A 15,487-nucleotide genomic window follows, 5' to 3' on the forward strand; every position below is an offset into this window, starting at 1 on the left:
TTCATACTCTTATGTATATAGCCACCTTCCAATCAGAAATTACTTAGGAATATAAAAATTATAAGCTGCTTCAGCAACATGAATGTAGCTGGAGGTCATAATCCTGCAAGGATTGATGCAGGAACAGAAACCAAGTACATATTCTCACCTGTAAGTGGGAGCTAAACATTGAGTACACATGGACATAAAGATGGGAACAATAGATATTGTGGACTACTAGATGGAGAAGAGGGGAGGAGAGGAGAGGAGAGGAGGGGGAGGGGGGAGAGGAGGGGGAGGGGGGAGAGGAGGGGGAGGGGGAGGAGGAGGGGGAGGGGGAGGGGGAGGAGGGGGAGGGGGAGGGGGAGGAGAAGGGGAAGGGGGAAGGGGGAAGGCAAAAGGGGGCAGGGGTTGAAAAACTACCTAATGGGTACTATGCTCACTACTTGAGTAAAGGGATCCATACCCCAAACCTCAGCATCATGCAATATACCCATGTAACAAACCTTCACATGCACCCCTGTATCTAAAATAAATGTTGAAATTATTTTTTAAAAATGCAGGCTGCTTCAAGTTTTTATGAAACAAAATGCACATTATACACATATATACACACAAGTACATGACACATACATATGTAATACACACATAGACATACACACATGCATTGAAGTATGGCATGTTATTGCAGTACTGTAGGTAATGCAGTGGGCAAGGACACATATTTTGTACTTAAATAGATATCCTGTTAAGTGGAATAAGCCAGACACAGAAAGACAAATATCTCACTTATATGTAGAATCTAAAAAAAGCAAACTCACGGGAGCAGAAAGTAAAATGGTGGTCACCAGCAGCCGGGAGGTGAGGGGATTCAGGAAATGTTGGTCAAAGGATACACAATTTCAGAAGAAATAAGTTCAAGAAATTTATTGTACGACATGGTGACAATAGTTAAAATAGTGCATTGTATACTTGAGAACCTCGAAGAGAGTAGATTTTGTGTTTTCATCACCAAAAAAAGTATATGAAGTAATGAATATGTTGATTTGCTCAATGTAGCCATTTTACAATATATACATACTTCAAAGCATCATGTTGTATGCCATAAATATATACAATTATTGTCAACTTAAAAAATACAAAAAGATACCAAAAAAGATATCAATTACCTTTACAGTGTCTTAAGTTTATGCAGATAAATAGTATCATTAAAATATAAAAATAAAAACAGACTAAGAGCCATTTTGAGCCAGGCTCTGCAAATTATTAGCTGCTTTGTTTTGGACAAGACATGAACTAAGTGTCTAAACTACTATATCCAATATAGAGTAAGTGCACATGAAACCTGAGCTCTCATCATTATTACTACATAGTGGAAGTGCCAACGTCAGAGCTGCAAAAGTCAAGAACCTTGGTCGTATGGTACATGACTGTAGATTGTCATTACATCTGAAAATACAAAAAAAAAAAAAAAATCTTAGGAATGCATATGGCATCTCACTGTCATTTCTAAATACTTTGACAACATTCACAGAATAAAAACTTGCAGAGAATTGTCTCTAGGCAATAAACCCCGACATATTCTTTTCCTTAGTAAAGCCTTAATTATCAATTGTTGACAAGGGAAGAAAGGGTTTCTCAAGGGAGAAGATGAGTAGAAGGAATAGACTTATTTGACCTCAGTGCCCCGTGTTGTGTAACCTCAGGGAGTGCTGGAGATGTCGGGGGATTTGCTGTTTTGGGAAAGAGACAGTCGTAATTTGAATCTGGGCACTGGGAGCGCCTGAATTCTAATGCTGGATTAGCCAATGATTCTATCACAAGCACTTGACAGGCACTCACATTCTGTGCTTCAGACTCTGGGAAACTGGTAACAGCCATTGCTGTTGCTCTGGAAATCTTCCATTCTGGAATCTCTCAATGAGATTTAAGATAAAACTTCTTGGAAGCATCCTATATGGTTGGATCAGGTAGAAGATGTGGAGGGCACTAAATGTGATACTTACCTTGGGGATTGAGTATGTGTGAGACACAGTAGCCAGTTCTTTCTGTTTGAAGCAAAGTCCACACTGTTTTCCCGTGGAAGCTATTTTCTAGGTTTTGTGGAAGTTAAATATCCAGGCATGACATGCAGTGGTCAACAATTGCATGTTCTGTGCAATTGCTATGTTCCTGAGTGTCTGAATACTCGTAAATATATGGTTACCCACATTGGTTTAATATCATTTCAATGAAGCAACAGTTTTAATCACCTTTGACTGGAGGCTGCCAACATTTGCTTAGGCTTTCCTTTGACTCACTGGAACCTCTCAACCTGCATTTGACTCTGCACCCAGTCCCCTCATTGGGGGCCTGCCCTTCATAATCACCTGAAGTACACAAGAAGCTAAATTGAGTCTGTCGGTTGGAGGGTGCTCTAATTAAATGAGAACTTCAACCATAGTGATTTGCATACTTCCTACAATGATTCTAGAGTATCTGAAGACCCTCTCTTCAACAGAAAACCTTATCTGACAATCAAAACTAAGGTTTAAAATACAAGTACATTTAAGAGAGGTAGAATGATATCTGAACATTTTTTTTAAATAATGGACTTTGATAAGGGAAAAGGGATGAGAACCCCAAGTCCACAGAAGAAAAGTATAGGTATTTTCTATAGCCAAAGGCTTCATAATTTGTTCTACGAATATGGAAAATATCTTGAGGACCATCTAGACCATTTGAATACATCTGGAAAGACTACTCCAATAATGTCTCTCATTTATCCTGGGTTTTACGGTTCATAAAGAATTTCACATACATCACCTCACTTGATTCTTACAGCTATTCTAGGAACAGGAGAAGGAAGGGGCTAATTATCTCCACTCTATAGAAAAGAAAATAAATCTTCTAGTTAACTAAAGTAGTAAATGTCAGAGCTAGGACTTGACTCCAAATCCCCAGGACCTGACTCCAAATCCCAAGCTCCTTCCATATCATCATTTTTAGCTCAACAAGAATAGGAAGGGATCATTCACAATAGCCAAAAATCAGAAACAATTCAAATGTCCATCAATTGGTGAATGGATGAACACAATGTGGTGTATCCAGACAATGGGATCCTGTTTGTTAACATGCTACAACATGTGTGAACCTCAAACACATTAGGTTAAGTGAACCTCAAACACATTAGGTTAAGTGAAAGATGCCAAACACAAAAGATCACAAATTGTATAATTCCATTTATATAGAATATCCAGACAAAGTGAACATTGAGAGACTGAAAACAGATTAGAGGTTGCTTGGGGCTAGAGCATAGGGACAAAGGTTGACTACAAATGGGCACAAGGGATCTTTTTGAGATCATGGAAATGTTCTAAAATTGGTTTGTGGTGATAGTTGCACAACTCAGTAAATTTACTAGAAGAAAAAAAATCATTGAACGTTACACTTAAGGTAGGTGAGTTATATGATATGTAAATTTCACCTCAATATGTCTCCTTAAAAAAAAATAATGACAGGAGGAGCATGTGTCTTACTGGCAGAGAATGCCATGTTTACAACCTCACAGAGAGGCCCAGCACAACAATGGAATCATCTGGCTCGGAGGAAAGCACTTGGTTTTTGTGCTGGCAGCACATGATTTATTGGTTTTGCCCTGCTGATAAGGCCATTAAAAGCAGATGATGACACATTCTTCAAGGGCAACACAAAGCCTGCTGCCTTCACCAGTCTTACTGGACCTCAACCCGAACACATGTAGCTTGTTCTGCCAGCCTCTGACATTTTCATTTTGTTTGTAATATAACTTTTCCACCTTTTAAAAATATGTATTTTAGAAAACAAATGCAATAAAACATGTAGATTGGAGAGCTAAAAGTGAAAGTTTCCAGTCCTGTTAAGGGCAGGAATTGGCAAGGGATCATGTTACCAGTGGGATGGGTCTTTTGTAACTTCTCTGAAAACCAGCTCTGATTCACTGAGGATGCCTTAGAAAGGAGAACAAAGAGAAACTGGGGACTCCCGGCCGGGGGGAATCAGAGAAGGCAAATATTCAACAAGCCCTAGATCTCAAGAACACAGGGCGCTGTGGAAGTAAAGGTCAGTTAGGAGCTGTGAGTCTGTGTGAAAAGAGAGTGCCTTTGATATTCGTGATAAAATTTCAAAAAAAAAATCTCAGTAACCAGATACCAGCTTTCAAGCACTAACTGTCCCATTGTCGGGCCACACTGAGTCCTCATATTCCTGTACTTTGAAACTGACTTTACCTCTCTGACCTCATTCACAGCAAGATCTCAACTTTTCTGCCCTTTAATGTGGCATTTACCTGCAGGACCTGGAGTCTTCTAAAGTGACAGTTGTCATGACCCTGAGGAGGGAACCATACCAAGGAGATCGCTGTCTTGGGTGCTCACCTTCCACATCATTCTTCTTAATACTACAGCGAACAACTCTGTCCAAACTTGTCAGACCAACACTCGGGGTTTCAGGACAGGTAATTGCTGAAATGAATGGAAGACCTTCTACTCCACCTCTAGGAAAATTTCCTTTATGAAAATTTTAGGTGAGCTTTATTAGAACCTTCTAGTCCACCTCAAGTAAAATTTCTTTTTATTAGAACTTAAATCTGTTTCCTGTTTCATAAGTGGAATTCCATATTCACCATCTGCTGTGTAAGATGAAAGACTTGGTTGATAAATTCAGCTATTTCTCATTTTTTTTTCTGAAAATCTTTTTCTTTGGTCTTTACAGTTTTAACATTATCAGTTTATCTTTCTATTTGCTTGTGTGGGACTCATTATTACATGTTTGAATCAGATTAACAAACAATAAGTAGACCTACTATACACAGGTGAAGCATTAGATGCTCTATTACTAATCTTTGTCTTTCATCCCATCCTTCTTTCATTTTGATACATTTTGAAATGCCTAACTAGTAGATCTCAACGTGAGAAGCAGTTTGGACTCATTAGAACATAATTATACCCATCACTTACTAGCTGGGCATACTTACAGGGATTTTTTAACCTCCCAGAACCTCAGAACCCACTTTTATCCTTTGTAAAATGGAACTAATTCAGTAGTATATACTTCAGCAAGTGTTGTCTCAAACAAGTTAAGTGTTAATATACGTAATTATTAAATGGAGATCACATTAGCATGTCGTACTGCCTGGCACATTGACTTTAGATAAAAGTATTTTATAAACTATAAATATTATACAATTGCAAGATATTATAAATAGCTCCAATAATTTTAAATTTGACTCATGCTCACTACCACAAGCTGGCACAGCTGGGAGATTTGCTTGGCTGCCAAACCTAAGAGTGAAGACTTGATAAGGGTATTGCCAGTTCTCATCTGATCCCTTTGGCCTGTTTGGTTGTTGTCTGTACAGAGCCTGACCTCTGCCTGACATTCTCCCCTGGGAGCCTCTTTCCAGCTATCTGAGAAGCTCCCAGCAAACTGACTGAGCAATGTCGGAAGCTTAACTTCCTTAGGAGCCATTACATTAGTTCAGCAGCCTAATTACAAATCATCCGTAGGAAATGTTGAAAACCCAAACCCTTCCGTGTAACTGGGAAACATGTTAGATCTATTTCAGGCAGCAACCTTGCACCTGTACAGTGAGAGAAATTAGATTAAGACTTTTTTTTTAAAAGGCAGGTGCAGAGGGAGGATGAAAATTAGGAATAGCTTGTTAACAGTAGACTTAACATTTGTGAGAATAAAAGAATTTCCAGTTTCCCAAATTTGCAAATGATAACGTAACATATTGTTGATGAAAAAGCTAAACTCTGTAAAATATTTAAACAGGTTTATTCTGAGCCAATATGAGTGACCATGGCCCAATGTACAGTCTCAAGAGATCCTGAGAAAGAGTCCCCAAGGCAGTTGGGTTATAGCACTTGGTTTTATACATTTCAGGGAGATAGGAGTTTTAATTAAAGACATAAATCATACATGGAAGATGTACATTAGTTCAGCCTAAAGAGGCAGGATAGGCCGGGCGTGGTGGTGTGTGCCTGTAATCCCAGCCCTTTGGGAGGCCAAGGCAGGCTGATCACGAGGTCAGGAGTTCAGGACCAGCCTGGCCAATATGGTGAAATAATTTTAAACTTGACTCATGCTCACCCTGTCTCTACTAAAAATACAAAAATTAGCCAGGTGTGGTGGCACATGCCTGTAGTCCCAGCTACTCAGGAGGCTGAGGCAAGAGAATCGCTTGAACCCAGGAGGTGGAGGTTGCAGTGAGCCGAGATCGCGCCACTGCACTCCAGCCTGGGCTACAGAGTGAGACTCCGTCTCAAAAAAAAAAAAAAAAAAAAGGCAGGATAGCTTCAAGTAGGGGCCATCTTACAAGTGAATTTAAACATTTTCTGACTGGCAATCAGTTGAAAAAGTTAAACTTTGTCTAAAAACGTAGGAAGTCAGTAGAAAGAAATGTTTGAGCTAAGACAAGGAGGTTGTAGAAGCCAAGGCCCTTGTTAAGTAAACGAAGTTTCATAGGCGGCAACCCTCAGAGAATATGTGATGCTATACCAGAGTCATGCTGGAATTTGGAATCTTATTGCCACAAGAGAAGTTCTGTCAGTCTTACTATAACCTCCCAAGAGATTCACCTTGCCCACTGCCTAGAGAGAGCGATTCTTCAAGACAGGGGAATTGCAATAGAGAAAGAGTAATTCACGCAGAGCCGGCTGCGTGGGAGACTGGAGTTTTATTATTCAAATCAGCCTCCCTGAGCATTTAGGGAGCAGAGTTTTTAAGGACAACTTGGTAGGTGAGGGGAAGCCAGTGAGCCGGGAGTGCTGACTGGTCACAGGTCAGAGATGAAATCACAGGGAGTCGAAGCTGTCTTCTTGCTCTGAGTCAGTTTCTGCGTGGGGGCCACAAGATCAGATGAACCAGTTTATCAATCTGGGAGATGCTATCAAGTGCAGAGTCTGCAAAATATCTCAAGCACTGATCTTAGGAGCAGTTTAGGGAGGGTCAGAATCTTGTAGCCTCCAGCTGCATGACTCGTAAACCATGATTCCTAATCTGTGGTTAATATTAGTCCTACAAAGGCAATCTACTCTCCTGGAAAGAAGCAAGTCTACTTTGGGAAAGGGCTGTTATCATCTTTGTTTTAAGCTATAAACTAAGTTTCTCCCAAAATTAGTTCATGCTACACCCAAGAATGAACAAGGACAGCTTGGAGGTTAGAAGAAAGATGGAGTCAGTTAAGTTAGATCTCTTTCACTGCCTCAATCATAATTTTGCAAAGGCGGTTTCATTATGATCTCTGATGTTAATGCTGGCCAGTTGTGCCTAAACTCCAAAACGGAGAGGGTTTAATGAGGTGTGTCTGACCACCTTCCCATCGTGGCCAAAATTCAGTTTTTCAGGTTTCTCTGAGGTCCCCTTGGCCCAAAGCGCTGTCTGTTCAATAGAATGGAGCGGGGGGGAGGTGCTTAGGATCTTATTTTTGGTTTACAACATGATTTCAATGTTTCCTCACCAGCAAACTGAGGACAACTTAAATAAGAAAGGCATCCATGAAAGGGACAAAAATGCCACTACGAGATATGAGCACTTAGTGGCCAGTTGGGCTCACTCATTAGATTGGGGGACATACTCAAAGGCAGACTGACCATGAAGAGTGAGTTTCAGGTCCTTGTGAGTGCTGGGGTTTCCAGGATTAGTAGAGAGCTCTTGGTGGGGAGAAAAGCCAGGTTACAATGAAGTGGCATTACTCTGAAAGCATTTCTAATAAACTCCTTAAAGGCATCAAAGAAGAAAGAAGTCTAAATCACCTAAGACCCAGTACTTTATCATGATTTCTATTATTGTTTTAAATACATTTTCACTTTTATAACTAATTTTGTATTTATAATTTTATATTATTAAAGAGGTTCCCAACATTGTATAATTCTTGGGCTCTATAACACTGGATTTACCCTTGCCTACTCTCCAACTCATTTGTTTTGTATTGTTTGTTTTGCTTTCTCTCTCTCTCTGTGTGTGTGTGTGTGTGTGTGTATGTTTAATTACTTCCTGAACTCTTAATAATTATGCTAGCCCCTGAGGAGGGCAAATGGGGCAGACATGGTTTCTTCCTCAGAGAAAAGGCCTTTCCAGCGAAGACCTATTTGAAACAGGTAATCCCAACTGGGATATTGCCATGAATGTCTTGTGGGGGCTGGGAAAACTAAGCTGGCTTCAGACATCAGGAAAGACCTTCCTGAGGAAGTGTTACTTAAGACCTGAGTAAAGTAGAAGAGGCAAAGGCTTTCCAGGCAAAGAAAGGAGCAGTGCAATGGCTTGGGGATGAAGGGTGTGTGGACAATTCAGCCCAAAGTGGCTCAAGTGTGAGAGTCGGAAGAAGTGGCCCAAGTTGAAGCTGGAGAGGTGAGTAGGGCTTGATGCTGGAAGAGCCAGAGCCTGCAGTTGAAGGTTCTGCCTGAAGGACAATGGAAACCATTTGGGGGTTTTAGCCAGGGAATTAGTTGATAAGATTTGTGTTTTAAAAGGTTAACTCTGGCTGCATTATGGTAAAGGGGAAAGAATCATGCAGCAATGTACCAGGGAGACTGCTAGTCCATCATGACCATCATCCAAGAAAATGAGGACAGCAGCTTAGATTCAAGCAGGGGGAACAGCAAGAAATGAAGTAAGATTCAAGAGCTGTTTAAAATATAAGAGCTCAGGCCTTCCAAAGGAATATAATGATGTTGGTGAAGGCAGGAGACAAAGGTAGAACATAGACTGCAGCACATGGTGGATGAGGATACTGTTTTCAGAAATGTGGAAGCTGATTACCTGAGCGACAAAATTATCCATACACCAAACCCCTGCAACATGCAATTTACCCATGCAGCAAACCTGAATATGTACCCCTTGAACCTAAAATAAAAGTTGGAAAGAAAAAAAAAGTGACAACAGAAATGAAATAAGGAAAAAAGAAAAGAAACATAGAAGGCTGGAAGAGTGGGTGAGGAAAGTATAAAGGGAAATTAAAACACTGGTTTGGGGCAGGTTGAGTTTTAGCTACCAGTGATATACTCAGATGGAGATTCCCTCCCTCCTTCCCTCCCTCCCTTCGTTCGTTCCTTCCTTCCTTCCTTCCTTCCTTCCTTCCTTCCTTCCTTCCTTCCTTCCTCCTATCACTGAAATACACATATTAAATCTGTGAGTGATAAAATCCTATAGTAGGCCAGGTGTGGTGGCTCACATCTATAATCCCAACACTTTGGGAGGCTGAGGTGAGTGGATCACTAGAGGCCAGGAGTTCGAGACCAGTCAACATGGCAAAACCCTGTCTCTACTAAAAATACAAAAATTAGTCGGTGTGGTGGTGGGCGCCTATAATCCCAGCTACTTGGGAGGCTGAGGCAGGAGAATCAGTTGAACCTGGGAGGCAGAGGCTGCGGTGAGCTGAGATAGTGCCACTGCATTCCAACTTGGGCTACAGAGCGAGATTCTGTCTCAAAAAATAAAATAAAATAAAAATACAAGCCTATAGTAGAATAAAGCAGAGGATCAGTGGAAATGAGGATTTTAATTAAATATGAAATATATATTATATATGATATATAAATATTATATATAATTAATAATTAAATATATTTGTATAATATATTCACTTAACTCTTTGGTGGATATAAATAGTAATGCCTAAACAAATATTTTAAAATAGGAATAGTTTCTGAAATTACCAAATTCTTCTCGAAATTTGGGGATTAATAAAGTATGAAAACAAACAATTGGTAGGGCCTTGCAACGCTTCTAAACAGTAGCTGCCACAAAAACATAAGCCACAAGCAAAGTGACTCATCTGTAGGAAGTGGGAGTCTCCTTCCATAGAGACTGTTAGGCTGAAGTAGGAATTAGATACATGTATATTTAGGAGCTCTCTCTGATCACCCTATAAATACTAATTGTGGAAACACCAGATCTACTGGCAGGTCTGGTATTGCTGATTTTTGGAGGAACTGGTGAGTTTTTGCCACTCTCTTGTTGAGTCTTTATTAAATCAGGACACTTGCTAAGGTGAACAGTGTCCTTGTTAGGCAGCTACGGCTATGGATGATGCTACGGGATAATGTTACGTCTACCTAACACTAGATGGTAATAAAGTCCAAAACTCTTTGACATGGCCTAGAAAGCCCTTCAAATAAAGAAATATTCAACATGTATAAGCACCTACCATGTGAAGGGCATGATACTGGTGGCTATTAGGAGTGGGGAGGGGTAGATACCAAAGCCATTTTTAAAAAGTAGTACCTGAATCAGGGCCAGTTTCTGCCTCATCTCCACCTATTCCACCTAGCCAAACAGTCTGGTTTTTGTTTTTGTTTTCATACTCCTGTGCATTTGCCCAGAGGCTGCTCTTTCAGCCTGGAAAGCTCTATCTGATTCTGTACTTTCTCTGACTCCACTCACATAGGCTATATTGCTTCTTTATCTGTGCCCCATGGTTCTTCCCTCCCTGGCGCCTGGCTAGAGGCATCACTGCACTGTGTTATTGTCAGCTGTCTGCCTCTCTCCCAGGAGTATGAACTCCTTGAGGGCAGAGACTAGATCAATTTCCATTTTCTGTTTATAATCCCAGCTTCCAGCACAGACTTGTTCCACAGAACGTAGTTGGTAAATGTGAGTTGAATAAACAAACCAACAAACAGATGATAGTATTTTCAGGAGGAAAACAAAAGGAAAAAAAGTTGAAAGGGGAAGCTCTGTTTTCACTAAAAAGGGAATTGCCAATATATTGGGAGATAGTATGTATCTGAGTGTATCTGAATATATCTCATTGGGAAGCCAGAACTATGAAAAAATTCTATCCCAAGGCAGATTTTTTTAAACAAAAAATGTTAATCGTCAAAAGGCTTGGAGTATTATTGACTGTAAAAACAATTCTATCCAAAAAGATAATGCAACCAAGTAAAAATCTCAAAATACAAAATGGTGATGCTTGGAACATATAGTGACTGGATTTTTTCAATGTAGACAAAGTTCCAAAGAAAACTAAATTATTCACCATATTTAATTCTAGTCAGGGTCAGGCGGGTAGTGTTTGATCACTCAGCAGAATTGTATCCAGGAGATTTAAAGTTTGTGAAGGATACTTACAGGGGGAACCAAGAAGTATCCAACCTATTTGAACCAACTCATAAGATCATTCGTGAGTTGTGATTATTATCATAATCGGAGTGATTTGTAACAAATATACTAGGATATCTAAATGACTATTGTTTTTAAGGCAGTGTCTTTGAGAGGCCATAATGGCTTTTTCCAGTGATGCTGCCACACAGCAAAAACACACACAAAAACGAACAAACAAAAGGCATTAAGCCTTCCCTTTTGGAGCCATTTTCAGAGTCACTCATGGGACACATAAGATTTGGGAAAAGAAATCCATGTGAGATGATATTTATTCTGGGTTGTTCCAATGAGAAAATTTAAAATATGTGGATTTTTCAAGAGACTAGTTTCAAAGCAATAAAAGTAATTTTCTGAGGATTTGAGTCATCCAACAATGAAATAAGCTTTTGAAAATGTGCTATTTTCACTAAAGATGTTCAAGCAAACACTAGATGATCACAAATAGAAGTGATACAAAATTCATGTATTTCAAAGTCCTTTTGAAATCTGAGAATCTGTGATTCTAAAATATCTGAATACTAAATGTATATTATAGTTTGCATGTATCGAGCCCAGGTCTGTGTTCAAATGTTACCTTACTACAGAGATCTTCCCAGATGAAATATTACCCCCAAAATCTTCCTTCCATTTTACCCTGCTCTATTTTTCTCCATAGAACTTCTCTCTAATGTGTTCTATATTTACATGTTTGTCTAGATATTGTCTGTCTCTCCCATCTAGAATGTAAGCTCTGTGGAGGAAGGAACTTCGTTGATTTTGTTCACTTCTCTAAGCCAAGCAACTAAATTAGAATCTGGCATGTAATATGTGTTTAGTCAATTGTCCAATAAAACTTAGCAAAAAAAGGATGTTACTGAACAATTACAAACATGAGAGAGATAGGGTAAAACACAATTCCAGTGTTTCTTCGCACATATTTATATACCCTAAAACTCGCACAGTAGTCAACCTATCACATGTGGCCAATATGTATTGTTGAAAGAATGAACTCATGCTATCATTTATATGTCTTTTCTTCTTTTTTTCCCAAAAGCACACAGATTTTTACATGGCTGTAATCCTTATTCATCTTTTCACCTAAATTGTGGTACTAGAGCTGAATGACTCATCTCATGCATCAGATTTGGCTATCATGACTTGATGTCATTGCCAAAAATCAAACCCATTCAAATAAAAAAGATGGGCCCTTGCTGAGCTGAGGTTACACAAAAGCATATGCTACAGGCTGTAAAAAAAAAAACAAAAAAACAAAAAAACAAAAACAAAAAACAAAAAAAACACACAAATGAACTCATTATTTCTAATTCAATCATTATCTCTCTCATTAGCATCACTGAAAAGTGTCAGTTATTTTTGGAGTAGAATATCATAACAAGTTAAGATCAAAATAGCTAGCCAAAACATTCTCACAAGAGAGCAAAGTCAGATAGACTTATACACATTCTGATTTCAAAACTTATTATAAAGCTACAATAATTAAGACCATGTGATTTTGCATAAGGATAGATATATAGATTTATAGAACAGACTTGACTGTCTAGAAATAAACCCATGTATTTACGGTCAGTTAATTTTCCACAAAGGTTCCAAGGTAATTCAATAGAGGAAAGTATAGTTTTTTTCAACAAATGGTGCTAGGACAATTGAATATCTGTGTGCAAAAAGATAAATTTGGGCCAAGTGTTGTCACTCACGCCTGCAGTCCCAGCACTTTGGGAGGCCACGGTGGGGGCAGCATTTGAGTCCATGAGTTTGAAACCAACCACCTGGGCAACATGGCAAAACAGTGTCCCTACAAAAAATAAAAAAAAAAAAGATTAACTGGGCGTGGTTGCTTGCTGTCTCTAGTCCCAGCTACTCCGAAGGCCGAGGTGGGAGGATCACCCAAGCCCAAAAGATAAGAGGCTACAGTGAGCTATGATGGTGCCATTACACTCCAGCCTGGGCAACAGAGTCAGACTCCGCCTAAAAAAAATAAAAATAAAAAAGATGAATATATAACTTTACCTTACATATACACATAAATAAGTCAAAATGGGTAGGAAATCTAAATAAAACTAAAACTATACAACTTTCACAATAAAATATGAGTAAATCTCTGTGGCCTTGGGTTGGAAAAAAATTTTCTTTTTTTTTTAATGAGACAGAGTCTCGCTGTCACCCAGGCTGGAGGGCAGTGGTGCCATCTTGGCTCACTGCAGCCTCGGCTTCCTGGGTTCAAACCATTATCCCACCTCAGCCTCCTAAGTAGCTGGGTTTATAGGCATCTGTCACCATGCTCAGCTAATTTTTGTATGTTTACTAGAGACAGGGTTTTGCCATGTTGGCCAGGCTGGTCTCAAACTCCTGGGCTCAAGTGATCTGCCCACCTCAGCCTTCCAAAGTGTTGGAATTACAGGCGTGAGCCACCGTGCATGGCCAGAAAAAGATTTCTTAACTATAACACCAAGCAATACAACAAAAAAATTGATAAATTGGTCTTGGACTTCACCAAAATTTAAAAAGTTTGCTCTTCAAAATGAATCAAAAGACAAGCCCCAGAATAGAAAAAAAAAGTCATATACCTAATAAAATATTTGTCTCCAGCACATATAAAGATTCTTACAACTCAATAATAAGGAGACAATTAACCCAATTTTAAAATGGGCATAAGCAAGAGATTGAGGCTGCAGTGAGCTATGATCACTCCACTGCACTCCAGCCTGGGTGACCGAGCAAGACCCTGTCTCAAAAAGTTGTTTAAAAAAGGGGGAGGTAAGATTTGAATAAATATTTCACCAAAGAAGATATAAGGTGGCCAATAAACACATGAAATGATGAACATCTTACTAGGGAAATGAAAATTAAAACTATCATTTGACACCCTCTAAAATGACTATAATAGAAAGACAAGCAATAATAGGTGAGGATGTCGAGAAACCGGAACTCTCATTCATTGCTGATGGGAATGTAAATTGGTACAGCCGTTTCGGAAAACAGTTTTTTACAGTTTCTTAAAAAGTAAATTTACCATATAACCCAGTAATTCTGCTCCTACATATCTACTCAAAATAAATGAAAACCTGAGGTTACTCAAACACTTGCATGTAAATGTTCATAGAAACTTTATTCATAGATAAAAGGTAGAAACCCAAAGCTAGAAACAACCCAAATATTCACCAGCTGCTGAAGGTATAATCAGAATATCATGTACTATACATGTATTGATAAATGTATTTTTGTATGCATTAATATTTTTAATAGATTTTACATATCTATAAAATGGTGTTATATTTATGGAGTCCTATAAACTATGGATTTATTTTAACATATACACAACAATATGCTCATATATAATTTCTTTTTTTAATTTGTGCAAATGTATGGAGTACATAAGAAAATTTGTTGTATATATATAATATGTAGTGATTAAGTCATATATATAATTTCAAATTAGCATCTCTTCCATTTTCAGGCCAGATACAAATCTGGGCTCAGATTCTAGCTCTCTCACTTCTTAGCTCTGTGCTCCCATGCTAGTAACTTAACCTCTCTGAGTGTGTACTAGTTAAGTACAGGCACTAATGTACACCTTACAGGACTGTAGAATTAAAGGAGATAATGCTTAACACTGGAATGGCATAATGTCAGTCCTTAATAAATCATATCCAGTATTATTATTTGTATTTTTCGAGTTTCATTTGCAAGTCTAGATTTTTACTAGTAATCATGGTGAGTAGGAAGAAGCATTTCGTTCAGTGGAGAAAGACACCTCTCTGTACTTTCAGCTCTCCAACTTCTGACGTTTCACTTAATCTCTGAGAGCCTCAGTTGCCAACATCTATAAATGAGAATCATGTTATTCATCTCACAGTATTTATGATTAGAAAAACTTATTGAAGTGCTTTGTAAACTGCAAAGTAGGATAAAATTATGAAATACTATATTATTATGACCTTTTGTCCCCATCAATACCACCTACAGTATGTTTATAGAAGAACCAAAATAACTACCCATGGAGTATTGTGGAGACATTTCTCAACCCTAAGATTATAATGAAAGAATCTTTTCATGGCCATGGAGGTGGTGGCAAGTCATTTTCAAAATAAATTTTATTTCCCTGTTGTTTGAATACAAAGTGAGAAGAACTGTGTTACTCCTTATCTGAAACACTCTGCCTGTCCTCATGAGCTATCAGACTCAGCTAAATATGGCCCTGGCCAGTATGTTAATAATCCCCACTGGTTCTGAGACCTCCATCCACCACCGATGTGACATTCTTTGTGTTCAAATGTCTAGCTGACGTCTGATGCTTAAAACAGCCCATGCCTTCACCCCTCTCTGCATTGTCACAGCCCTGTATCACCACTCTTAAAAGGCTCCCACAGCCACTCCTAGCACC

Source organism: Homo sapiens, chromosome 7, assembly GCF_000001405.40.
Source record: "Homo sapiens chromosome 7, GRCh38.p14 Primary Assembly".
In the NCBI taxonomy this organism is placed as follows: Eukaryota; Metazoa; Chordata; class Mammalia; order Primates; family Hominidae; genus Homo; species Homo sapiens.